At 39.3% G+C, this 27,609-nt stretch overlaps 1 protein-coding gene across 5 annotated transcripts in view, besides 3 other annotated features; it reads left to right on the top strand.

The window, feature by feature from the left end:
- ANK3 (ankyrin 3) overlaps positions 1–27,609 on the top strand; it is a 707,231-nt gene that overhangs the window by 578,541 nt on the left and 101,081 nt on the right. For 3 of the 5 annotated variants that reach the window (NM_001204403.2, NM_001320874.2, NM_020987.5), the window contains 2 exons: positions 15,901–16,024; positions 20,615–20,717. In NM_001204403.2, the coding sequence (NP_001191332.1) occupies positions 15,901–16,024; positions 20,615–20,717 (227 nt within the window). Of the gene's footprint in view, positions 1–8,966; positions 9,021–14,247; positions 14,637–15,900; positions 16,025–20,614; positions 20,718–27,609 lie in introns of those variants that run through there. The other 2 variants (NM_001204404.2, NM_001149.4) reach the window with 2 other exon arrangements.
- Positions 24,492–25,067: an enhancer, noted in NCBI's record as "OCT4-NANOG hESC enhancer chr10:61889679-61890254 (GRCh37/hg19 assembly coordinates)". NCBI's record gives its function as "activates a minimal SCP1, AML or CMV promoter by ChIP-STARR-seq in naive H9 embryonic stem cells {active_cell/tissue: H9 hESC(naive)}" and the evidence as "EXISTENCE:reporter gene assay evidence [ECO:0000049][PMID:30033119]".
- Positions 24,623–24,917: an enhancer, noted in NCBI's record as "tiled region #4517; K562 Activating DNase matched - State 5:Enh". NCBI's record gives its function as "activates a minimal TATA promoter and a strong SV40 promoter by Sharpr-MPRA in K562 cells {active_cell/tissue: K562}" and the evidence as "EXISTENCE:reporter gene assay evidence [ECO:0000049][PMID:27701403]".
- Positions 25,366–25,551: a silencer, noted in NCBI's record as "fragment chr10:61889195-61889380 (GRCh37/hg19 assembly coordinates)". NCBI's record gives its function as "represses an EF-1alpha promoter that drives an FKBP-Casp9 reporter gene in an ReSE screen in K562 erythroleukemia cells {active_cell/tissue: K562}" and the evidence as "EXISTENCE:reporter gene assay evidence [ECO:0000049][PMID:32094911]".

Raw genomic sequence — 27,609 nt, 5'->3', positions numbered from 1 at the left:
AAATATTTAGAGAACCTTCCTCTGTTTCTTTTGGCAAAAGAACTATATACACCAAGATGAAAATTCAAGTAAAATAAATATAAACATAATTTCAAATAGATTTTAACTAAAAGCCAGTAGTTTTAGTAAACGTATCAGTGTATTCTCGTTAGGAAAGAATAAACAGATTTTGGTTGTTTCATTTTGTTTTGTTTTGAGACAGTCTCACTCTGTTGCCCAGGCTGGAGTGCAGTGGCATGATCTCGGCTCACTGTAACTTCCGCCTCCCAGGTTCAAGTGATTCTCCTGCCTCAGCCTCCTGAGTAGTTGGGACTACAGGCGCCCACCACCATGCCTGGCTAATTTTTGTATTTTTTAGTAGAGACAGGATTTCACCATGTTGGCCAGGCTGGTCTCAAACTTCTGGCCTCATGTGATCCACCTGCCCCAGCCTCCCAAAGTGTTGGGATTACAGGCGTGAGGCACCAAGCCTGGTGGAATAAACAGATTTTGACTTGACACAATCCAAAACTCAAAAAAGTAAGGTGAATTACTTTGGGAAATGTGAAGGTAGATCTGAAGAAGACCACCAGGAAAAGACCAGTTAGGACCTCTTCTTGCCAAATGTCTAGGACTCTCCTGCTACCCTAATTTCCTAATCATTCTAAATAAATAGGACTGTTATGTTATTAGCTTAATAGATCTGGAAAGAGGCCATGGAGATCAGGTTGCCCTCAGGTGATTCAAGGGTTTGGTTTCATTAAGTCACTGTTCTTAGCAGCTTCAGAAATTGTTCTTCACCTGAAATTTTGTTGTTTTACAAGAACCTCTTATATCATTTAGCCTTTTGCCTGAAGATTTCTCTGCTTACAATTGGCCTTTCAAATCGATGTTACATAATTGCTTGTATCTCTCAGGGATAAAGCCAAAATGGTAACTTTAAAATACCAGAAGCAAAGACTAAATCTTATTCTCTGTTTTATCGCAAGAACCTAGTATACTGCTTGGTACACAGAGATCTTCAATACATGTTTGATCGGTTGCATCAACATGAAGTCATACTCAAGGGATAGTTTAGCAGGTTTCTGAGATGAAGCAAGATGAAGATTGCTGACAATGCTACCTTTTCCTTTCATTCAGCTCCTTTTTACTGAGACAGTCCTAGGCTATGTTTAAGTTGATAAACAGCTTTATAATGACTCTCCCAAAGCATATCTGCATCTCAAGGAATAGTTGATGAATTTAAAAGAATTACCAGCTAAAGAAGAAGATCTGTGGACTGGGACAAGGGCCTTTATTCTAAAGCAAAGTCTGTTCCATCATTGGTATCCTGTCTTTGGAATTAGAATTATATAGTGATTATCACCCACACTATCCACTTATCCAGCTATGTACATTTTCATTTAGGTTCTGATATCTTAAGTCACCTTAAGATACCTAAACATACCCCTTGAAAATAGTGTCTTTTCTCACCCTTCTCCATCTCAATAAATGGCTCCATCGCCCAAGGCAAAATCTGAGTTTTATGCAATCTGTCTTCCCACAGCACTTCTATCCAGTCCATCAGCAAGTCATATCAGTCCTACTTTCAGAATACATCTCAAATCTCTCTTCTCTTCTCCATCTCCATTTTCACCACCCCCATCCAGGCCACCACATCTCTCACATGGAATACTGCAGGAGCCTCCTTACAGATCTCCAGTTCTTCTCTTACCCAGTAGACTCAGCTTTCTCCACAGCATCCACACAAGCCTTTAAACATATACATTGGATCATGTTATTCCACTCCTTAGCTTAAAACCATCCAAAGCTTATAGTTAGGCTTTTAAGATTTATTCATACTGCTGCATATAATTGAACTTCATTCATTTTCATTTCTATACAATATTCCATTGTCTGCCTGTACCACACTGAGTTATCCACTCTACTGTTGATGAGAATGTGGGTTGTTTCAAGTTTGAACTGTTGTTACAAACTTTCTTATATAAGTTTCCTGGTACACATATGCATACATTTCTGTAGGATGTAAACCTAGGAGTATAATTGCTGAGTTGTATATTATGTGAAGACAACAGAATTCATCAAAACCAGATGACAATAAACTATGCTTGTAAAATTAGATACTGAGATTTTTAAGGAAGGAAAAGAATATATAGAAAGCAATTACCTTGAGGAGGTAAGAGGGGCCTGTGTTTGGGGTGGGGGATGTGGGAGTCTTCTGAGGTGCTGATGATGTTCTATTTCTTCACCTGGATGGTGTTTATTTTATAACAGTTTGCTAAAATGTATATTTATATTTTATATTCTCATCTGTGTGGTTGCCGTATTTTGTAACAAAAGTAACCAAGCCACACAAATAATATAAATACACCCTTAAAGTAGTACAAATACAAAACTAAAACCCACGCAAGGCTTTATATTGCATTTAGAGTAATTTCAGTAGTTTGCCATGATTAGTAAGTCCTGTGTGATATGGTCCCTGGCTAACCCCTTTCCATTCTCCTTTCACTTATGCTTTTTTATTTCATCCTAATACTCATCTCATTTTATTAGTCATTAATTTCAAGAGTCAGCAGACTTTTTCTATAGAGAGCCAGTGGTAAATATTTTTGAATGTTTAGTCCATATTGGTCTCTGTCACAGCTACTAAACTCTGCCTTTGTAGAACAAAAGCCACCAGAGATAATACCTAAATCAACAGGCCTGATTGTGTGATACTAATAAAGCTTATTTACAGAAATAGGCAAGAGGCTGGGTTTGGCCCATGGGTTGTAGTTTGCCAACTCATGGTTAGTTTTTTATATTTTCTTTCAAACTAGACTAGTCAGTGCCATAGGATCAGAGTTGTCCTGGTGTCTATCATAGGTCTTAGGGTGTATACATCTGTACCTTCATTCATGAATGTATCTACTGGCTTAATTCCACACATTTACCTGTGTCTCTGTCCCCCCTCAGGATTCCATGTAAATTAATACTCTCACCATCAGAAACAAGGTATTTACCATGATTGAATCTTTCTATGTGCTAGGCATTAAGCTAGACACATTTCATGCATTATGTAATTTAACCCTCACAATGATTAAATTGGAGCCATTGTCATTTTCATTTCATAGATGTGGAAAATAAGTTTCAGTAAGGTTAAGGAACTTGATTAAGGTCACACAACATCAGTGCTGGAGCTGATATTCAAATCCTTGTACTTCTAATATAGATGTTGTCTGGTAATTTAGATAAGAGCCCCATAATGGTTGAGTTATTGTTAAGTTTGAATACCTATGCTAGTCTGTTTTGCATTCATATGAAGGAATATCTGAGGCTGGGTAATTTATAATGAAAAGAGGTTTATTTTGGCTCACAGTTCTGCAGGCTGTACAAGAAGCATGGTGGCTGAAACAGATTGTAATTTTGAACACTTTTTTTTTTCCTCTGCATTGTATCTGTCCTTGCCCATCCATCTGCTTCTGGTAAGACCTCAGGATGCTTTCATTCATGACAGAAGGTAAAGGAGAGTTAGGTGGCAAGAGAGGAAGCAAGAGAGAGGAAAGGAGGAAACTTCAATTATATACAACAGTATGAATGAATCTTAAAAGCCTAACTAAGCCAGGCTCTTTTTAACATCACATCTCACGGTAACTAATAGAGCAAGCATTCACTCTTTACAGAGGGGATGGCACAAGCCATTCATGGGGGATCCACCTCCATGACCCAAACACCTCCCACTAGGCCCCACCTCCAACACTGGGGATCACATTTCAACAAGAGATTTGGAGGGGATAGACCTTCAAAGTATATATAATGACATATGTGAAAAGCATTTAGCCTAGAACTTGGCATGTGGTAAGAACTCAGGAAATGTTACTTACTTGGTGCTGTATCTTTGTTACTTCTCTCAAAGTATTCAACAGCATTATTAATACTATTTTTACTCCTAATTTCCATTATGTCCTAATTTAATACCCTAATTTAAAGTACTATTAGTCCTAATTATATTAAGGAGTCAGTCTCAAGGAGTTTAAGATATTTGCTCACGTTCACACAGTTACAGAAACTGGAATTTGCATTTAGAATTTTTTACCTTAGACTTTCTACTCGAGATTCTGTGTTAGTCTGTTTTGCGCTGCTAGAAAGAAATACCTGAGACTGGATAATTTATATATATATATGAGGTTTATTTGGCTCATGGTTCTACAGGTTGTACAAGCATAGCACCAGCATCTGCTTGGCTTCTGGTGAGGCCTCAGGAAGCTTCTATTCATGGCAGAAGGAGAAGGGGGAGCAGGAATGTCACATGGCAAGAGAGGGAGCAAGAGAGAGAGGAGGAGGTGGCAGTCTCTTTAACCAACTAGCTGTTGTGTGGACAAACAGAGTGAGTACTTACTCACTACAACAAGGAGGGCATCCAGCCATTCATGAGGGATCTGCCCCTATGATCCAAATACCTTCCACAAGGCCCTACCTCCAACACTGGGGCTCAAATTTCAACATGTGATTTGGAGGGCACAGACATCCAAACCATGTCAGGTGCCATGAGAGAATAACAGATTAAGTGACAAGAAAATTAAAAAGACAGGGAGATTATTAAAGACCTCAAAAACAAACTTTAAAGGCATTTTAAAGAATAGATAGGATTTGGACACACAGAAATTTTGCACGGGTAGAAGGATGGGGATTGGGAAGAGGTGTTTCATATTTAGAAAACTTGTTGGTCAAAGTGTCAGAGACAGGAAAGCACAGGCCCCCACAGAAGAGCTCAGCACACAGGAGTGGGGACAAGGGTGCAGACGCCAGGCACCGGATGAGGTCCCAGGGCAGCACACAAGGAGGAAGAGAAGCGGTTCTGGAAAACTCTGGGCACACATAAGAGGAAGAAGAATGCTAATGGACATGGAAAGGGAGTGGTGAAGGATGAAGGGGAAAAAACCTGAGGAGTGGGTGCTAGAGGAAGCCTGGGAGGAACTTTCCTAGAAAGCTCCAATCAAAAGAGCACAAGTGGTATAGGAGGCCGGGTATGGTGGCTCACGCCTGTAATCCCAGTACTTTGGGAGGGTGAGGCGGATGGATCACCTGAGGTCAGGAGTTTGAGACCAGCCTGGCCAACATGGCGAAACCCTGTCTCTACTAAAAATACAAAAAGTAGCCAGGCGTGGTGGTGGGTGCCTGTAATCCCAGCTACTCAGGAGGCTGAGGCAGGAGACTCACTTGAACCCAGGAGGCGGAGGTTGCAGTGAGCCGAGATCGTACCACTGCACACCAGCCTGGGCGACAGAGCGAGACTTCGTCTCAAATAACAACAAAACAAAATAAGGGGTATGGGAATCCTTGGTGACCTCAGCAGCTGCCATGCCATATGGAATATCCTGGATATAGACAGAAGATAAGAGTTCTAGTGTAGGTAGGGAAGGTCACAGCGAGTATATTTTTTTCCTCCAAGAAGCTATGATAGAGTGAGCAGCTAGAGCAGCCTGTGAAATATTTAACAGACGCCAAGGAATTGTGTGCTTGTTTAACTGCAAACAACAGGCTGTTGTGGTTTTTTTTATTTGCCCCAAACAAATTGTAATTTTGAATATTTTTTCCCCCTAAATCAGGTCTGTCCCTTCCATCTACCTGAAAAGTCTGACCTGCTTCCTGTGGAAGGTTGTCCTAATGTAACCACCCTGTAGCCCTCTCATTAGCTCAGAGAACACAACAGTGAGAATGAATGAGCAAGGGGAAGACAAGGTGGTGCACAGGGAGCTAGGAGCAAGAGGAGTGAGAGGAGCCCAGGAAAGATGTCCCAATGGGGAGGGGTGAGTCAGAACCCCAGTGAGAATGAGAACTGAGGACAGGCCTCATGTGTCTTTGCCTTGTGTGTACACATCTCTGGGGTATAGGTTGGAAGTACAAAACAAACCAATAAATGGATGTTTATTGCCAGGCACAATGATAGGCAATTTGGGTGTAAGGGAAAGAAAAGGCCAAAATCGCTGTTTATACACGAGCCTGGTACTTCTTTATACCTGGGAACAGTGATTAACGTGTTCCTGTATTGTACTCATGGTCCTTGTGTGCCTAGGCAATGAAGAGGTGAGAATAATGCAGTCTGGATTTGGGGTTGAGGCTAGACAAATAGCTAAGGAAGAATGAATAGGACAAATCAGCTGTCATGATACTGCCACCTTGAATTTAGCTACCTAGTTTCTCTGCAAGTGAGAACCAACATTTTTGTGCCTGATTTTCCAGGGCTAGTTTGTGGCTAGCAATTAGTTCATTGTCTAGTCTTCTTCACAAGTGGCTTAGATTTTAGATAATGAGAACAGTATAAGTAATCTTTTACTTCTTTCTACCTGCATTCTGTCTTTAGACTTCAGTGCTCCTTTGACCAAGTCAGTATGGTGTTTGATCTTACTTAGAGGACTAAAGGAATTTCTGTATCTGAGTTAAGGAGTACTAATAAGAAAGAATATGAAGGAATTTTAGAGTCTGTCCCAACATTGTCTTTTTCTGCCTCTTCATAGGAAAAACCTGAATTCTCTTTATTCTGTTCTTTGTGGCTAAAAGTGCTTCTTTTTAAAACCTGTATGGCACTTTACTGCTTCTTAATCCAGGCTAGATATAGTTTCTAAAGTAAGCATGCATGACTCAGTGTTGGAACTTTTCCAGGTGGAGCAATGAAAAATGTCCTATGTGATCTTGTTTGGGTTAATAAACAAACCCATCTCAGAAAGGAAAGAGAATTCAGGTTTTTCTATGAAGAGGTAGAAAAAGAATCAAACTGGTTTGTACTAAAAAAAAAACAGCTTAAGCAGGGTCATTTGTTCTGTGGAATGAATAATGGCAGTTTGCTGTTCTTTCAGAGGTGTGCAAACTTTGTCATTCAAACCTGATTCTTTTTTGGCCACCTACAATGCCAGGCTCTCATGAGCACCTAGAACTAGGGAAAGGAAGGCAGAATGCTGCTGATGGCCATCCCACAGGAGGCACATGCATCCCTTAAAATGAGAACACGCTTCTTTGGCCTTCTTAATTTACCTAGTTTACCCAATGCTTATTTAACTATTTTCTCAACTTAATCCATAATTACCACCCATTTTCAGAAGGAAAGCCAGAAAGTTGTATTAGTCCATTCTCACACTGCTATAAAGAAATACCTGAAACTGGGTAATTTATAAGGAAAAGAGGTTTAATTGGCTCATGGTTCTGCAGGCTGTACAGGAAGCATAGCAGCTTCTGCTTCTGAGGAGGCCCCAGGAAACTTACAATCATAGGGGAAGGCAAAGGGGGAGCCAGTACTTTACAAGGCCGGTGCAGGAGGAAGAGAGAGGAAGGGGAGGTGCCCCTCACCTTAAAACAACCACATCTCATGATAACTCACTCACTCACTATCACGAGAACAGCACCAGGGGGATGGTGCCAACCCATTCATGAGAATCCACCCATGTGATCCAACCACCTCCCACCAGGCCCCATCTCCAACACTGGGGATGACAATTCAACATGAGATTTGGTGGGGACACAGAGCCAAACCATATCAAAAGTATATCCTAGCACTTATTTTCTGTTTTGAAAGAACGACAACCATGGCCAGCATATGATGGCAAACAAAGGGTTAAAGTGAAGACCCTCTCTCCCACCCCATAAATAATCCTCTCCTTCTTCCTACTGAGAGGAGAGGTGGAGAGTGAAGGGGGCAGGAAGTGAATGCTCACTCTATTGTATACCTTGAGCACGGGACTGTCAGTTTTTCTCTGAGGCTCCAGTCCTGCCAGAAGGTACAGAGATGAGCTGGGCTTGCAGCATCACCAGTGCAAGGCTTGCGGGTCCTCCAGCCTGACACAGAAGTTCCTGGGCTACATGCAGGAACCTCCTGAAGCAGATGGCACAATTCCATCCTCCAAACACCACCTCGTGCTTTTTATCACCTCTCAGAATATTCACAGGAAACCTTACTTAACACGAGCTCTTGCTCCAAACTGAAAAATGAAAGGAGAAATACATGCAGATCTGGCATCTAACTAACGTTCCCATCAACTATTCTGTAACTCTGGGCCAGAATTAGACTTTTAGAATCCAAGTTTGAGGGATCAGGATCCTAATCCTACCATATTTCTTTTTCTTACTCCTGCTTCCTTGTTCTTTTGAGAATGAAAATATCAGGAGATCAAGGGAAAAGTAATGTGAGCAAATATGTCATTTGGATTCTCTAGGCTGAGAATTTATCGTCTAAATGTTGAATGAGATATAAATCTTTGCCGGGCGCAGTGGCTCATGTCTGTAATCCCAGCACTTTGGGAGGCCGAATCATCTGAGGTCAGGAGTTCAACACCAGCCTGGCCAATATGGTGGAACCCTGTCTCTACTAAAAACACAAAAATTAGCTGGGCTTGGTGGCGGGTGCCTGTAATCCCAACTACTCGGGAGGCTGAGGCAGGCTAATCACTTGAACCCAGTAGGCAGAGGTTGCAGTGAGCCAAGATTATGCTACTGCACTCCAGCCTGGGCAATAGAGTGAGACTGTGTCTCCAAAGAAAGAAGAAGGGAGCAACAGACACCAAGGCCTACTTGGGGGTGGAGGGTGGGAGAAAGGTGAGGATTGAAAAACTGTCTATCAGGTACTATGCTCTTTACCTGGATGATGAAATAATCTGTACACCAAACCCCTGTGACATGCAGTTTTCCCATGTTACAAACCTGCACACGTACCCCTGAAACTACTAGAAGTACCACATTAATAGCGTGCATCTCCTTCTTCCTGCCTTGTTACTTCACTTTTTCTGTTCCATCTCTTAAAGAGGCATGTAAGGTAGAATATCAAAGTATTGAGTGTTCCCTTTGCTTGCTTGCTGGATATCCACTGGTACACAAACACATCTTCGTATCTACATGGCAGACTTATGTAAGTGACAATACTGTTTCTGGTGGATGGAACATAGAGCTTATATGACTGATCTGTGGTCCCTATATTTTGTTTTGTTTTATTTTGTTAATTTTATTCATTTTTTGAATAGGTAATAGATGCACATGGTACAAAATTCCCAAGGTACAAGAGTTTACGGTGAAAAGTAAGTCTCCCTCCTCTTTGCCCCAGTAAATATAGTTCCCATTTTGAAAGGCAATCACTGCTCTTTCATTCATTCCACATTTATTGAGCACCTACTATGTGCCAGGTTCTGTTCTGGGCAATGATATGAAGCAAAACAGACAAAGCCCCCTTGCCCTCAAGGAGCTTACATTTTGATTACGAATTTCTTGTAATATTCATTCAATAGCATCTTAAGTTTTGTATGGCCAGCGCACTGTGGTAGTTAAAAGAAGGGCTCTAGAGTGACAGCAACTGATTTTGAATCCTATTTTCTGTATATTCTAAGTAATCTTGGAGTATTTATTCCACCACTCTAAACTGTGTTTTATTTTGAAATGGAAATAACAATTCTGTTTTATAAGATTATGAGAATTAAATAATACATATAAAACACCAAACACAGTGCCTAAAACATAGTAAATGCTCAATAAATATTAGTGTTAATTATAATTGATCTGATTCTACTGTTCTGTAATGCTGACTAGAAATAAAGGATTTATTTTCCCAATAGTTTTCATTTCCTCTCTTTGCTGTATGATCAAAGAAAATCACTTTTTAAAGGATAAGCAACAGTAAATTTAAGTCAAGTTTGATCATTAATCTCTTGTGTATTAGACTATTTGCTGAGTTCTATTAAGAAATCAACTCCTAGTAAATCAGTAGAGTATAGAGACACTGTTTCTCTTTATTCTTTCTAATCTTTCTTAATCCCATGTAATTTGCAGGGTTGTACTATTTGGTCTGTACTATTAACTATTAATTTAAACTTTATAATGGGAGATTCTGTATTTTACAGAAGAATTAAACACTTTTGAGCAAAGTTTCTAATAATACAATTTGGTATCCTTGTCTTAAGGAACTTTATGACTGAAGTCTCCAGCCAGATGGGAAAACAGCTTTCAGTTCATGGAAAAGTGACAGAAGTTTTCCTTGGTGATGGTCTTAAGGTGGAAAGAGATTAGAAGAAAAGTACATCGGGTGGGGGAAGAAAAGAAGAGAAAATAACTTCTAGGATAAGAAAACACTTTTAAATATTAGGCCAATAACTATTTCCTTTATTCGACATGAAAAAGGATCATTAGGGGGCATAATGAAAGATTGTGAGGATGTTGGGTTGGGTATATTACACCATGTACTGGACCATTGACTTGGAATCTAAAAAGGAATGAGGGCACACCTATTTGGCCCACCACAGTCCTGATAATCATTTAATATACTCTCTTTCTCTCCTTTGTTCCTGTTTCTATTTTGTATTGTTTTCCTGGCAGACGAAGTTGACAGATCTTTGAATGGTTGATTATGGTGTAGGAAATCTCTTCTTTCAGCCTAGTCATGATGTAGGGAGGACTAGGAAGAGGAGATTGCTGAGTAGTTGAAGTAAAATGCCTCTGAACTGCTTTTATTAATTGGTTAGTGGTGGGATCAGGTAGATTTGGGGAGTTTTGTATTCTTTTTAAATATTTTGTAGGCTCTGATAATTTATTGACAGATGTAGATTAACAATAAGAACATCAGTGCTCAAGATAAAAGTTTCGAAATGCATCAAGTCAATACTAAGTGAGGCCTTCTCTAATGGCATTTGCCACTGTGCTCCTGGGCTTTGTGTATGCACATCATTTAATGCACTACAGAGCTAACTCTAATTTATTAGTGATACATTAGGCAACCAGAGTGTGACCTCTTTGGTTTACCTTTGGACCTTGTCATTTCTCATTTTTGTTTTGGTTACCTATTACAAAATTACAGCCTCCCCGAAACTCAGTGATTTAAGGTCTTATTATCTACCTTGGTTCTGTGAGTTAATCGGGGCTCAGCTGAGTCTTGGGATCTTTTATGAGATTGCAGTCAGCAGCTGAGGTGGAGGAACATGACCAGATGTCCAAGATGGTGTCTTCATTCAAAGGTCTGACACCTCAGCTAGGATGGCAGCGACAGCTGAGCGTTGGCTGGGCATTTCTCTTTCTCTCTCTCTCTCTCTTTGACTCTCTTTTTGTCTCTCTCTTTCCCTGGTTCTAAGCAGCCTCTCCATATGGCTACCTTGAGCTTCTTTATAACATGGTGCTATCATCATAGTCAGATCTCTTACATTGGGACTGGCTTCCCCCAAACCACTGTTTCAAGAGACTTGAGGAGTCTGCAAGGTTTCTTTGAACACAAACTCATTCATTCAAAATCACTTTGCCAAATTTTACTGTTCAAAATTTCAGCCAACCCAGATTCAATTTAGGGGTACTATGCAAGGGCATGAATAGAAGGAAACATAGTTCATTGGAGGTAAGGGTGAGGCGGGCATTTTAAAGATGAGCTACCAAAATCCTCTTTGCCTAAAAATAGTCAAATTCCTCTATAACACAGCTCTTATTTCACTGCACCAAATAACTTTAGAAAACATAAACCTACACAGCTCCTTTTTAGTAAGTGAAAATATGTGATCTTGGTAACATTTTTAAGCTAAATATATCTGATATAAAATGCATGTCATCTGTTAATAAATTACCTTGGTTGGCTTATACACACGTGTTAGAAGCTGCCACTAGCCAAAATGTGTTTGGATTATATAGTGGATTAGAGAAAGTTAACAAATCACACAATACAATTCATCTCATTCCTTTCTAATCTTTGGTACAGTAGTGTGTTGTACTATATAATAATGATAGAATGTTTTGTTCATTGAAAGGAGTGTGAATGAACTTTGTTGTTGTTATTGTTCATTCATTCATTCCATCAACAAATTTTCCTAACACAATGCCTGGCTTATAAGTAATGGAGAACAGGGACATTTTACTGCTGTAATTGGATTTTGCCTTTACCAGTATAAATAGTAGCAATTTAAATGCTATTTGAGTTCATGCATTCAGATATTTGGGCATTGGAAAAAATTGTGCAACAGAATAATAGTAATCGTGCTGATTAAGCCCTTACTTTGTGCATTATTTCATTTAAATCTCCCCAGGAGGCTTGAGGGTAGAGGCAGACTTATTACCCCCAGTTTTATAGAGGTTGGAACTATGACTCAGAGCAGTTAAATGGTATTTCAAAGGTCACCCAGTCAATACATGGTACAGCTTGGATTTGAACCTAGAGCACCTACTGTGGAAAACAGCATTAAAAGAATACCATTGCTTTTATTTCTAAATTCCATGTCTTTTAAGAAATGTTCTCACCATTCTAAAATGCTAAGTGGATAATTACTTAATGTTATAAGGCTATTTTATTTTCATTAATCTTTGGCCAAGTGTGTTGACAACTCCCACTCCTACCCCAGACTTCTTTTTGTTTCATAGTGACCATTTCTGAAGTCTAAGAAGTACGGCTAAAGAATAATGGAAACTTACTTTCATTGAAATTTTACTGTATACCAGTCATTTAACATAATATTTGAAAAGAGTGCTAAGTTGCCATGACATGTAGATTTAAAAGATAAACATAAAAATAACTTATATTTATTATCAGTCATGGATTCCAAGATTATTTATGAGAACTTCCAATATACCTGGCCCAGGAAGAATATGGCTCCTAACTTAGGGGATCTCACCAGCCAATGGGAAAGACTAAGCAGATGTGTTTACTGGCAATACATTCTGATGAGGGACACCTAATGGTGAGTAGAGGGTGCGACGGCTTCTAGAAAGAGTCAAAGATTAGAGAAGTTCATCAGGAAAAAACGATAAAGTTTCCATCAAGAGAATACACCCTAGTAAAGGCTCAAAGTCTAAAGAGTTTAAGGACTTCTAGGGACTGAAAAAATTCTGTATAACAGGAGGGAAGGTGGGTGTGGAAGAATAGCCAAGAAGGAAAAATAGCCAAGAAGTCAGTGGAAGGAACATTGCATCATAGGCCTTGCTGAGAAATTGGAATGAATGACAGTATTTGAATAACGCTTTGCTCAGTTCTGTAGTTTCGATTCGAAATACAGACTTAAAAAGTCGATGAACATTCAGACATTTCTCTTTAAACAAGACTTCCCCTTCTATTCTTTAGAGTTGGAAATTATTCTCTGCTTGGGAATAGTTTTCAATATGTTCCAGACATTATAAATGACTTCCCTTCTATTTCCATGTATTTCCCATGTTGATTACAGCCAGGCTGATCAGAGTAAAGCACCAGGTGTCATAGCATCCTAATATTATATGAATCATGCATTTATCCATTCATCTATGCATGTATCCAGGGAAAACAGATTTTTCCCCCTACTTTATCGGTTCTACAGATTCAGATTCCTGTATATTTAGGTAACATTCCAAGGGGATAGATGTGCTCTTATAAAAGACTGCTTACTTCAGCAAGACAGTTTCTAAACCCTTTACTTTTGAGCCCAATTCTCCAGGTATTCTCGGGGGCGGTGGGGGCTGGAGGGAAGCAAAAAAAAAAAAAAAAAAAAAAAAACAGCAATTGAAATGGCCTCTCCAGTGTACCCAGATGGAAGATGGGGAAGTCCTGCTAGTTTTTTCCTTCACTGCCAACATAAACAGGGTGGAGCAGCTGAGAAGGAAGGCCACTAGTGGAGAGAGAAAGAAACAATGTAACAGCAAAGTGACAGACCTCAGTCCTGCCTCCTATCTGGGGCAACAGAGGCCTCTCCAGCCAACCCCAGTTCTCCCTTTGCTTTGCACTTCCTCCAGGGACCTCTCGAAGGAGCACCAGTGAGTCCCTCCATATTAAATAGTTGAAAGAACTTGGGCCAAAAATAAAGCAGAACACCCATTTGCTTTTTCCAACTTGTCTCACTTCTGCTCCCTTCTTCAAACTCCTGATAAAAAGCAGCGGCAATTAGTGTATTGCAAAGTGCCTCTTGGAGAGTTATGGGAATCACTGCTGCTTTCCTTAGCCCCAGTTTCACAACCTCAACTCAAGGGCAGGCCCTCCCTCTCTCTTTTTCCCCTCCTTCCACCTGACAGGGACCATAAATAACTGAGGCTCCCAGTGTTCCCAGCTGAGAACAAAGTTGAAAGTTTGCCTGGAGCTCCATGCCACTCCCCGCCTGGGCCACTGCTTTGTTTTCTTCTAATGTTTTTCCTCTACCTGGGTTGGCTGTTTCTTCATTCATATTTGAGAAGAATCACCTCCTAATTAAATGTAGCACTTCGCTCTCTCCCTACATGAAGGCTGTCTTGGTTACCCGACTAGGCAACGCGCATTGGTATCAAATTACCGAAAGTCTACACCGGAGCAGTCCTCATATTTACATACAAATAACTCAGGGGCTTGCATTTATGTCACCATTCTGTCCTGCTAGAGGCTTGCCAGAGGAGTTTTTAATCCAATCAGAAGGAGCTTTAAAAGGATGTCTGCGAAGTGGTCAAAAGGATCTTAACCTCAATTAAGTGGGGTTTTTTAAAAAGATTTTTTTGGGGGCCTGAAATTTTGAAAATCTTCGAACTCTGAGTGGGGAAAGATGTATAATTCCTCAATTGCCTACGAGGATATCAAGATGCTGAGAGGAATTCAGCGGTGGTGAAGAGAGTGGATACAAACCAGGGATTGGTTTCCTTGAGCTGTTTTGGAGGTTGATTCTAAATCACTGCTTAAGGAATTCCTGGAAACATCAGGAAAACATTTGATCATCCAAGCCTAGTGGAAATGGCTTTACCGCAGAGTAAGATCTTTGAGTTGTACTTGGTGTGTGCTGTTTTTGTTTGAGATGCAGTGAATGTGCAAATAGCCCAGCCGTAAATAGTTACTTAAAATAATCTCTTGGTACTGGGTAGCAGCAGTAGAAAGTTGATCTGTTTAGTTTTTACATTTGCAAAAACAGTAGTTGACAGTGTATTTTTAGACTTGATTGGTAGTTTAAAAGCTGAGCTCTTGCGGTTTCCTGAGTTTAAATGAATGGAAAATGTAAACAGTACCGAATGCAGGAATTGGAAAATATATCTGGGGGAATGAATCACTTACCTTTGAGAAAACACAACATGTACACTTTTGCAATCTCTTGGCCAGTGAAGCTTGCGTCCAGAAAGAGGGTAAGAGTTTGCCTGTGTGGGGAAGGAACTTTTCTGCAGCCTGTGCTACCTTTTGAGAAGGATGGGAAATGTCCCAGAGGGCAAAAGACAATTGAAAAACCTGCCTTGTCACTCTTGGAATGTGGTTTTTCCATATGATGTCATGTTTTGCATACGTAGCTGGTAAAAGTATTTCACATAATTAACTCTTTGTCTTGATAATTAAAGAGCAATTTATATAGTCCTTTCAAAGTGCTAAAGCACCCATATTATCTCTGGAGAAGGCTGTGTTGCTTTCCATGTAGATTTCAAGCATTGGGACAGTTGGGCTGTTGTTAATTTGATAGGTTTAGAAGCATTTCAAAATTGATGTGTTCCAAGGCTCTCCAACCAAGCAAGTTATAGTTCACATAACTTGCTAGTTTCTTACTTAAGCCCCAAACTGAAATCCTGTGTGTGAGAAAACCAGTTTTTTTTTTAAATGTCTGTTTCCTTCCCACATATAATTTCAAGAACAGTAATGAAGAGGTGGTTCTTATTTTGTAATCCATGTCCATTCAAACAAGCTGCCCTCATCGTGGGTGAGGTGAGGTGAGGAAAACTATAACTGACATAAAACATCCACCTTTCTAGTCAGCTGAGGCTTACAGGGAAGCAAAGGGATACGGGTAATGTTTTCAGATTTGTATTTAATACCAGGAGTTGTTTCCGCTACTTAAATTCACTCTTGAAATTGTGTACTAACCTTTACCTATACCTTTTCCTTCTAAATGAGAGTTTCAAAAATTATCCAGGTGATAGGGGAAGGTGAATATGAGATATTGGGGGATTTGCTGATAACCAAAGGAGTGATTTTCTCCACAGCTGACACTTTCAAAAGGGAAGCTTTTGATGTGGGCTTACTCTCTACATCTGCAGGTGAAGATGCAATGACCGGGGACACAGACAAATATCTTGGGCCACAGGACCTTAAGGAATTGGGTGATGATTCCCTGCCTGCAGAGGGTTACATGGGCTTTAGTCTCGGAGCGCGTTCTGCCAGGTACTTCGTTGTTGCTGTCTTTCATAGTTAATTTAAAACAACCATGATTTGTCATAAATCAAAATCATGTTCATTTTTCACATTATCCCAAAATGTGTTCTTTGGATGAAGATGTGAATTTAGCGAAATGTTCTCGACGCAAATACACATGCTCTGCTATTTTCTTTTGTGGTTTGCGGTTGTTAATTTCATGTGATTGAACATGTTAATTGTGTGTTCTTTTTTTTTTTCCCACTTTGCAGTCATGCTGCCAGCACAGTAGCAAAAGAGCTCACTGACAAAACTGGGAGAACCAATCTGAGTCACATATTTCAAAATTAAGTTTTGTTCCATATTGAAAGAAAGTATTATTTGCTAATAAGTGAGAAATATGTGTATAGATTGTTCACTATTCTCTGTTACTGAAATAATAATTCATGATTAAAAGAGAGCATTTTTGAAAAAAAATTATGTTGTTTATTAAAGTTGTCCACCAAGTGTTTGAGTATCTCTTCTAAAACTGTTCCATTATTTTGTTTACAAGGGACATGTAAGAAGTATAACAGTGATTTACCAAAAGTCACAGACAGGAATGGTGACAAATTCAGTTCTTACAACTGAAGTGGAAAACTTCTGTATGGGAAAACCTTGACTCAAACTTTTCTTAAACTAGTTGAAAGAAACAGAACCTTGTGCAGAATTTGGAGACTTCTTTGCCCTAGTGTGGATTTTAAAGCTAATAATTAAACCTTCTAAGCCAGAGCCCTGAGGACATTTTCCTATAGTTTAAGGATCTGTTGTAGAAAGTTTCATTGTCTAATAGTAAATGGCACTTCCCACAAAGTAAACCCTGGAGTTTATTCTCAGTGTAGTTGGTGTGGCCAGTATGGATATTGAATTGATTTTTCTTCTAGTCTTTTTTTTAGTAGGAATTTGAAACTCATATAGCTTGGTAGAACTTTTGCCTTATAAATACATTTATAAAAGGCCTTAAAGTCTTATTGTAGCAGGTGTCATTAACAGGAAGAGGAAAAATAACTTTAAAAAAATATGCAATCTTTTAGGCGATCAAAGATAGCAACAAGTTAAAATGGAAAATATGTAGAACTTTTAAGGTTCTTGAGATCCTGTAGATCTTGTTTAAATTGTAGAGATTTATAGCTTTTGAAATCCAATAACTAGCTTGCCTTCTGTTCTTCTGATAATATATGACACATTTTGTGATCAGTCATTTTTATGTAGAAAACTGTAGTAGCTGACCTCCAGTGACATAGGAAACCAGAATATCGCACTGTATTTTTTTTCTTAATATAATTCCAAGGCTTTCACACTTCTAATTTTGATTGCACTATTATTTGTTGCTATTATATGTAACTCATTTTTTTTACTTTGATGACTCATGTTATGCTCAGAGGCAAATATTTTTTAAAAATCTATAAAGCCAATATTTTTAAGCACATTGTTAGAGTATTATCAAGTAAAATATATTCTGAGTGTAACATTTTAAAAGGAGTACATTAAATGTGTAACTCATTCAACCATAACATTTTTTTTCTTTTTTCCCTGTCTGATTTTTTGCTTTCTATTTCTTGTTTTTTTTTTTTTTTTTTCCTAAAATTACTTTAAAATAGTCCCAAGATAAGGTAAGAAGACATGGCACTTTTATAGTGTTTCTCTTCCTTCTCCTGGCTCATGCTCTCATTTTTATTTTCTTTAGCATTGTAATGTGATGTGCTGTGATGTGCTGCGATGTGCTTTCTTTTTTTCTGCTCAAAAGCTTTAGAAACATCAGTAAAAATTTTCTGATTTTAAGAAAAGTAGAAAGTATATAATAAATATTACTTACGCAAAATTTACCAGATACTTAAGGAATTTCTTTCCCTTAACAAGTTTTGTATAGTGCATGAAGTAATTAAAGGAATTTCACTGGGTTTGCAGAAAAAGTCCTGATGTGAAGGGCTGTTTGTTTGCTGGTTTCTGTTTTATTTGAGTTGTGCTAGGTAAATTAGTATAAATTTAGAATTCTGAGGCATGTTTTTCTAACACTTCCTATATTTAACACTTAGGGTGTACTGATGGCTACAAATAGTTGGCCTTAGTTGAAAACAATTTAATGTTTTCTAGATCCTCATGCAAATAATCTTTAATTTTCAGCTGAAAGTACTTCGAAGTATTAAGGATTCCGAGTGAAACTTGATGGATTTAATTGACTCCATATGTCTAATTTAAATTGGTCTGGAATGATCAGAAGTAGGAACTTTAGACATTATGCAAAATGAAGACATCTTTAGGCCTTTCGGTTGATAGCTCCCAATTCAGGGCTCTGTTCTGCAGTTGGCACTCATAGAGAAATTAAAAGAAGGAGGAGATGTTTAAGAAGTATCAACAAAGTTTAGATACATTTAAAAATGAAATTAAAATGAATAGGTAATTATTTTTTAAAACTTTTAAGTGTTTGTCTACATAGAAAACTGTTTCATACACCCCAATGTTAACATATCATGCCATGGGGACCATAATTTGAAGAAATGAATGTCTAATGCAGAGAGTGGCCGGCGACTCTCAAATCACACCACTGGAGCAAAATTTAACATTGTTATTAATACTTAGAAGCTGCACTAATAATGTAGCCACTAGCCACCTATAGTTACTTAAATTAAAATTAGTTAAATTCATTTGTTCGTTCACACCAGCCACATTTCAAGTGCTCAGTAGCCGCTGTTGTTGGATAGCTCAGATTTAGCACATCCCCTTCATAGGATAAAGTTCTGTTGGACAGTGTTGAGTTAGAGAATTCCTGCTCTTAGGAAGCTTCTACTGTATTTGAGAGAAGGTAAGAGAATAGAAACAGGAATGGCGGAAAGAAGGGCTTGCAATTGAAACTGGGGAAAAAAGAGAGTAATGGGTCCCATGATTGGGCACAGAGGGCCTGACTGTGCAAGTGGCTAGAGTCATGTGGCTTACTAGATAAGTTCCTCTGTGCAGGAATTATGCTTATAATGGTCTTTTAGTAAGTTTTGCTGAATACATTAAATAATGACTGCAGAATGATGGTTGTTTGGGGATAAGAGAGGTCCATCTGAGATTCTGATAAAAGTGAAGGCTCCAATCCTAGAAGAATGTACGTACCTATCTGTGTAGACACTTAGAATGAGGCCTCTAATGTCAGGAGGCTCTGTACCTTGATAAAAGGATACCCACTTTCTGATTTTCTTTAGTATAGCAGGCAGTGGGGAAAAGAAATTGTTTCATGCAAAGAATCATTTATTTACCTCTTATGTGTATCTTCTTTGTTCATTTCCCCATCAAGCACACAAAAGGCAAGGCCAAAGCCAAAGTCTGGCTGGTTCAACTGGTAAAGATACAAGAAGGCACTTTTAGATCCAGATGGTTTTTTAATTATATAGGCAGTGAAAGAAGAAGTGAAAGGTGCTAGCTTCTCATGATCCTTGTCCCCTACACCTAAAAGGACACCAGAACAAAAGGGGCTGGATGTCTACAATGCTAGTTATGGGATACCCCATTGCCGAGGAGCCAATTCTAGACTTCAGCTAAATGGTTTTATATTCTGCAGCTCTATTCCAAGGAGAGCAGAATAGGAAGCCTCATACATCATTAGAAAGAGGAAGTGATGAAAGCTATCTCATGACAGCCTCCCAGGTGAGATGGGGAGGTGAGTAGCAGATGATCTCGTGGAAGCTCCTCACCAACCTCCATCCTCTCAGTTCCTGGAAGATCACAGGGTGTTCTGTGAAGACTCAGATTAGCTTCAATTCCGGTCTTTGCCTGTATGACTTATGTGAATATATGCAAGGTCACGAGAGTGACATGGCAGAACTGTTCTCCCAAGGGCCCTGACTCTATTGAGTTTTAGTTTAGAGGTCACTGTGATGATGGCATATCAGGGCATCAGGGTACCTGCATCTGAGAAGTTCAAGGGCCATATGGAGGATTTGACAGTGGCTGGAAAGAACAGTTGGAGGAGCTAGAAAGACAACAGTAGAGCAAAGAAAGAATATTTGCAGAAAAGACCAAATAACCATGCAGGGAATATGAATGTTTCCTCAAAGCCAGGAAGATGGCAAAAAGGATCATGCAAAGTGTATTCATAACACTACTTCCTTCTTGATGTTTTCTATGAGTAGCAACAACAAACCAGAGTTCTCAGTAAGTCCCAAAGACTTATAAACAGACCCATTTAAAGTAGACATAATTCTTATCAGTAGCGCATGTCAAGTAGACATAGACCAGAAAGAGGAGACATTCTAACATAAGATCTCATCCTAGAAAAATCTGTCAACTATCTAGAATCATCTGGTTCTTCTCAATTGTCATGTCAGTTCAACTTCATAGTGAAACATCCAAAGTTTTCATGCATTTCATATTCTCAAAATTGGCCTAATTTTAAACAAATTCTAATCATAAGGTTGTCTACACTGAAGACATTTTCTCAAATACAAGGGATTTTACTTTTCACTATGTCCTTTCAAGAACAACTTTTGTTGATATTTTTAGCCATCTTGCCTGTTCTTAAAGTTGCATGCATTAATTTTTTTTTATTCATCTCATCATCATCTACCACTGTTGAATGGTTAACTGTAAATACAACAGCCTCCGCTCCTTCAGTTCGGATAGGTCTTACACCTTGAACAGAAGCTCCTATGCACGGGACAGCATGATGATTGAAGAACTCCTTGTGCCATCCAAAGAGCAGGTATGCATTCTTTTCAAAATAGCCTTTGACCATTAAACTTACATTTGTATGATTTAATCAAGCTCTCTGTCTTGTGACAAAAAATATATTTCTGCATGTTTGATTTTACATTTGTAAATCTTCTGGTACTAGCCAGTTAAAAAAAAATAAGTTGTACTATAAGCAGAAATATTCCTGTCTTCTGCAGGTGAGGAAGATAGGAATATCAGAGAGGAACTCAGAAAGTCCTAGGAGATGTGTAGTTACCTTTCTCTTCTCTAGGTCAAATCTATTTCAGTTTTTTAAAAGGAGAGTTAATAATCATTGGTAGCTGAAGTTGCTGGTATTAACCTCATGAATGTTTTTGTTTGTTTTTGGAGACAGAGTCTCTGTCACCCAGGCTGGAGTGCAGTGGCATGATGTCAGCTCACTGCAGCCTCTGCCTCCTGGGCTCAAGTGATTCTCATGCCTCAGCCTCCTAAGTAGCTGGGACCACAGGCGCACCACCACACCCAGCTAATTTTTGTATTTTTAGTAGAGACGGGGTTTCACCATGTTGGCCAGGCTGGTCTAGAACTCCTGACCTTAAGTGATACACCTGCCTCGGCCTCCCAAAGTGCTGGGAACAGGTGTGAACCACCGCACCCAGCCTGAATGTTGTATTTTGCTAAACAAACTGTGTATCTATGTTGGAATTTGTTAGAATTGTTTTTAGTAAGTAAAGATGAGACTGGTCATTTTTTGTTCCCTTAGCTTCAAAGCTGCCTTTGATGGGTGTCTGAAGATGTGATAGTATTTTGCTTTCTACCAGAATCTCTGCTACATGCATTTGGTGTTTGTGTAATTGTTTTCTTCCAATAATTGTGGTTGAATAGATAGCGGGTTACTATAAGAAGTTCCAGTAACACAGTCTTCCTGCATGTGGGCTCAGGATGGTCCTGGAATAATTACTACACAGATAATACCTGGCTTTAAGTATGCACAGTAGTGATTTAATGACAGATGAAACTATCTGGACAATAAAACTTTTAAAGGTGGCTTATAATATTTAAACAATGTAAATAATTGGTGAAATCATGCTGGGCTTTTTGACTTACTGCACAATGAACGTGAATTGGAGCAGATGAATAAATGATAGTCACATATCATAGCCAAGTTAGAAGTTAAGCAATAGGTAGACTTTTGGGACTCCCACATGTCTGCAGATGCTGATGTCTAGACCTACATATGTGTGTTGTACTTCATAGGAACCTACAATATATATTTTATTACTTTTTACTCTCTAGAACATTCTTAATAAGCAGGCCTTACAGAGGTGAATACAGTGGTTATTCAGTGTTTGGTCAGACAAAAAAACTCTATTAAAAATGATTATAGGCTGGGCATGGTGGGTCACACCTGTAATCCCAGCACTTTGGAAGGCCAAGACAGGCAGATCACTTAAGGTCAGGAGTTCATGACCAGCCTGCCAACGTGGTGAAACCCCGTCTCTACTAAAAATACAAAAATTAGCCAGGTGTCGTGGTGGGCATCTGTAATCTCAGCTACTCGGGAGGCTGAGGCAGGAGAATTGCTTGAACCTGGGAGGCAGAGTTTGCAGTGAGCCAAGATTGCACCACTGTACTCCAGCCTGGGCAACAGAGCGAGACTCTGTCAAAAAAAAAAAAAATTGATTATAGGTGCATGTATTAGTCTGTTCTCACACTGCTAATAAAGACATACTAGAGACTGGGTAATTTATAAAGAAAAGAGGTTTAATTGACTCACAGTTCCACATGGCTGGGGAGGCCTCACAATTATTGTGGAAGAGAAAGAGACATCTTACATGGTGGCAGGCAAGAAGAGAATTTGTGCAGGGTAACTCCCCCTTATAAAACCATCAGATCTTGTGAGACTTATTCAGTATCACGAGAACAGCACGGGAAATACCTGCCCCTATGATTCAATTACCTCCCACCAGGTCCCTCCCACAACAGGTGAGAATTGTGGGAGCTACAATTCAAGATGAGATTTGGATGGGGACACAGCCAAACCATTTCAGTGCAATAGCATGTCATGGGTTTTAAATGGGTATTAGCACTAGAGAAAGCACTTGTCTCAAATAATGAAACTAAGTCTTGGGTATAAGGTGTTGCCAGGAATTGGTTGAAATTTTCTGCTTGGTTGGCTGTGGTCATTATTTCAGTCTGTAATCCTGCTCTTTTCATATTCCCAATTGAAATGAGATGGCAGTGGAGATATTGATACCACTTGTAAGTATAAAAATGCCTGTTATTCTCTACACTCTAAGGAGACCCCACAAAACGTAAAATCACAGGTGAAAGGAGACTCCCCAGGTATCAATGACACTTTGCTAATGTAGAAAGCATGTGCCAGGGAATTTCTGATCAAACCTAATTGTGGCTTATATTTCTGCATATTAACTTGCTATGGGTCAAGGGCCCGAAATTGGAACCACCACCACCATCACCATGACCTTACCATCATCACTGTCACCTCCACCACTGCTACCACCACCACTATTACCACCATAGTTACTCTACCACCCACCTTCTGCACATCAACATTGAAGTAAAATGCAAGTGTTTGTGGTGCTATAAAATGGCTTCTGAGGGTTCTCACACCATTGCCTATTAACCATTACCAAGACCTACTTACTCAGGTAGACTGTGGGGGCAGCATTTACTCAGAACTAAGGATTTGTGAACAGAAATAGAAGACAAAGAGAAGTTTTGAGATGAAACTGATGCTCTTGTAGTCAGTTGTTGCTTCCAACTCAAAAATACCTCTGTGGACATCATGAACACTTCTATAGACCCATCAGAGGAAAGGAGAGCATAGGACATCTGAAAATCTTTCAAAATAAACTTTAAGTTGATAATGTAGAAACAGAAAGTTGCTGTCTTTAATGAGCACAGAATACCCACATAGGCATTCCTTGTGGAACCAGCATGTTTAATAAGCATATAACACTACTCAGATCCATGCAAATCCAGAATAAATTGGCAGGAGATTTCAGAGCGGGAAATGAGAGTCATAAAGACATTTTAGGGACTGTTGGGGGCATTTGAAAATGTCTTGGAGATATCTGTGTATGTAGGAAATCATTGATCATTTTCTTAGCAGTGATAATTTTAGCATTGATAATTTTCTTAGCTTATCACTGCTACTTATTGGACCTACTCAGAGAATATTGGGGTATGCATGCTGAAGTTTTCCAGAATTAAGCAATCATTAATTCAACTATTTATTTCCAAATAGTTCAGCCAAAATGCATGTGGATAAAGTTAAAGCAAATATAGCAATGTTAATTGTTGAATCCAGGTGGAAGGTACATGGGTATTTTTTATACAGTTTTTCAACTTTTTCATTTGTGTGAACAATTTCAAAATAGTAACTTGGAGGAAGGAGGAAAAATCCTGAAAGAGGTGCATTAACTTTTTAAGTCTCTAGTTTTGAGACTAAAAAAAGCTAATGCATCTCTGTCTATTATTATAGATAAATAAAATTATAGATACAGAGGAGAAGGAAAAGGCTAATTGCTCAAAGAAGAAGCTGGCAGACAGAAGTGTCTAGATACACTGTGCAAGACTCATGGGAAGCATTTACTTCAGAAGTGCATTTAAACACTTTAGGATTAAATGACAAAATTATTAGTTTCTGTTTTTCATTTCTCTAATTTTGTATTTATAATGTTCAAAATATAGCTCTTCCACAGTAATAATTTTGTTGGAAAGCGTGAAAGAAGTTTTCAGTATTTAGAATTCCCAAAGCAATGACATATAACTTACTGTCAGATTTAAAACTGCACTGTCATTGCCCAGTTAAATTTGCCCTGACAAGTAAAGGTGAAAAATGAGTAAAAATGAACTCTCATACACTTCTCTTTTTCAATGAGTAGATCTCACTCATACAAAGTACAGTTGCCTCTTTATTATCCTGCTGATTAATCAGTTTGCATATTAACCACAGTTAAAGTGTAGTTGAGACCCAGGGTGATTAGTGCAGGACTGCCACCTCACCCTCTAGGGACCTGTGCTGGCTGAAGGCACATGTGGAGGCCAGAGCTGGGGGAGGGGAGTGGGAGAGGTGGAGCCATCTCCACCCCCTGTTGAGCCTGAGTACTTAGTCCTAATCCACTTAATTCCCTCCTGGACAATCAACAGTAGACTGTTTTGTTACAGGTTATCATGAACTTCCTATTCTTTTACCTTCCCTTTACTTCAGAAGTGCATTTAAACATTTTCTATTAGAATTAAGTGACACAAAATCATTAGTTTTTGTCTTTCATTCCTCTAACTCTGTATTTATAAATTTCAAAATGTAGCCTTTCCACAGCAATAATTTCATCAGAAAACATGAAAGAATTCTGTTAGCCAAAAATTACCTGAAGATATGTTTTTGAAAATGTATATGTAAATGAAATCATGTCTTGGATTTGTCAAAAGATCTTTTTATTTAAAGCAATGGCTCAATCCAGACCACTTACGAGCATCACTTGGAGAACTTTGGGGTGTGTGTTTGTGTGTGTGTGTGTGTGTGACAGAGTCTCACTCTATCACTCAGGCTGGAGTGCAGTGTCGTGATCTCAGCTCACTGCAACCTCCACCTCCTGGGTTCAAGTGATTCTTGTGCCTCAGCCTCCCTAGTAGCTGGAATTACAGGCATGTGCCACCATGCCCAGCTAATTTTTGTATTTTTTAGTAGAGACGGAATTTTGCCATGTTGCCCAGGCTTGTCTCGAACTCCTGACCTCAAGTGATCCGCCCAGCTTGTCCTTCCAAAGTGCTGGGATTATAGGTGTGAGCCACCATGCCCGGCCACCTGGAGAACTTTTAAAAAGACGATTGCTCAGTTCCTGATTTCTTTGGCCTGTGTAGAGACTGGGCATGCAATTCTAAATGAACCCAAGGTTGAAAGCCACTGATTCATAGTCAGTATTCTTAACTGGGGGTGCCCAATGGAATTACCTGTGGCTCTTTTAAAAGCAAGATGCCTGCAGAATCAGAATTTCCATGTCTGGGTTCTTGGGCATATGTATTTTTAAGGGTTCCCCTGACAATTCTAAGGTGTACCTTTAGTTAGTAACTGCCGATTTAAGGCAACTCTCACTGGAAGCTTGGTGTGTATTGGTATGTCAACATCTAATGTATTTGTTTTATAAGCTCAGATTTGTATGTGTCAGATTGTCTGAGAGCAACACCTGTGCTTGGAAACATTCCATTCCTCTCCAAATAGGATTTAATAAATAAAGGGATGAGTCTAAACTGAAGCCTGATTGTCTGGGATGAATGTAATAGCATGGTGCTTTCATTTCTTCTGATGTAATTATTGAAAGCAACTGTCTGGTACAGCTAATGTACTTAAGACACATTACTGTGTGTGATCCAGATTAGACAGTGCTCATTACATAAATGGAATGCTATTCACTAGATACCTTCAGTGTCAGGAGATATAATGGTGGTAACACTTATGGTGGTGGTGAAAACAGCTAATTTTGAGCTCCTATTATATGCCTGGAACTATTCTAAGTGATTTAGCAGTATTAAGTTGTTTATAGTTCACAATATCCCTATGAAATAATTTGTTAACCCCATTAAAAAGATGAAGAGTCCAGGCACGGTGGCTCACACCTGTAATCCCAGCACTTTGGGAGGCCAAGGTGGGTGGATCATTTGAGGTCAGAAGTTCGAGACCAGCCTGGCCAACATGGTGAAACCCTGTCTCTACTAAAAATACAAAAATTAGCCGAGTGGTAGTGGTGCACGCCTGTAATCCCAGCTACTCGGGAGGCTGAGGCAGGAGAATCTCTTGAGCCTGGGAGGCAGAGGTTGCGGTGAGCTGAGATTGCGCCACTGCACTCCAGTCTGGGCAAGATAGTGAGACCCTATCTCAAAAAAAAAAAAAGAAAAAAAATGAAGAAACTGAGGCACAGAGAGCATGAGTAACTCACCCCCGGGGACACAGCTTGTAAGTGGCAGAGTCACTGGCCATCTGGCTCCAGATTGCCTCATTTTATCCTGAACACTCTACATCTGCATTGCTCAGTGCAAGAAAAAGGCCCTTGAGGAGTCCACGTAATTTATAGTCTCTCCTCCAGGATTTTATACTTGCTAGTATTCTTGGTTGGGCCACAGAACCACCATCGTGATGTATTTTTTAGCATGAAAGATTATATTTAGACAGTGTTCTTTGTTAACGTTTATTTCTAATCCTAATAAAGTCTTTTATTTATTCAATGTGCTTTAAAAAGAACTGACATATTCAGTAACAATTATAAAAAGTATGAAGAACTGGCCGGGCGCGGTGGCTCACATCTGTAATTCCAGCACTTTGGGAGGCCAAGGTGGGCAGATCACGAGGTAAGGAGATCGAGACCATCCTGGCTAACACGGTGAAACCCCGTCTGTACTAAAACTACAAAAAATTAGCCGGGCATGGTGGCACGTTCCTGTAATCCCAGCTACTTGGGAGGCTGAAGCAGGAAAATCGCTTGAACCAGTAGGTGGAGGTTGCAGTGAGCCGAGATCGCACCACTGCACTCCAGCCTGGGAGACAGAGCGAGACTCTGTCTCCAAAAAAAAAAAAAAAGTATGAAAAACTAAAAATTATGGCATGGAAGGCATCATTACAGGAATGGAACTATTTGACCTTCAGACAGATAAAAGGTAGAAGGCATGACATCAGTTTACAAATATTTAGCAGGCTAACCAATTAGTTTATCTTCCTTTAAATGACACCAGAATTAGTTGTAAGACTAAAAGGTATGTATATACTGTAGGCAGAAACATGTAATTCAGTATGATTTTTTATAGAGTCATTCAAAGATGGGAGAAAAGCATAAGTCACTTATCGATGTCGGTTGGTTTTGCCTGCATACACCCATTTGGCTTTCCACATATACCCATTTCCG

The sequence above is a fragment of the Homo sapiens genome, chromosome 10 (genome assembly GCF_000001405.40).
Source record: "Homo sapiens chromosome 10, GRCh38.p14 Primary Assembly".
Lineage (NCBI taxonomy): Eukaryota > Metazoa > Chordata > Mammalia > Primates > Hominidae > Homo > Homo sapiens.
Note: the sequence above shows the minus strand (reverse complement) of the source record. Positions and strands in the feature narration are given on the sequence as shown.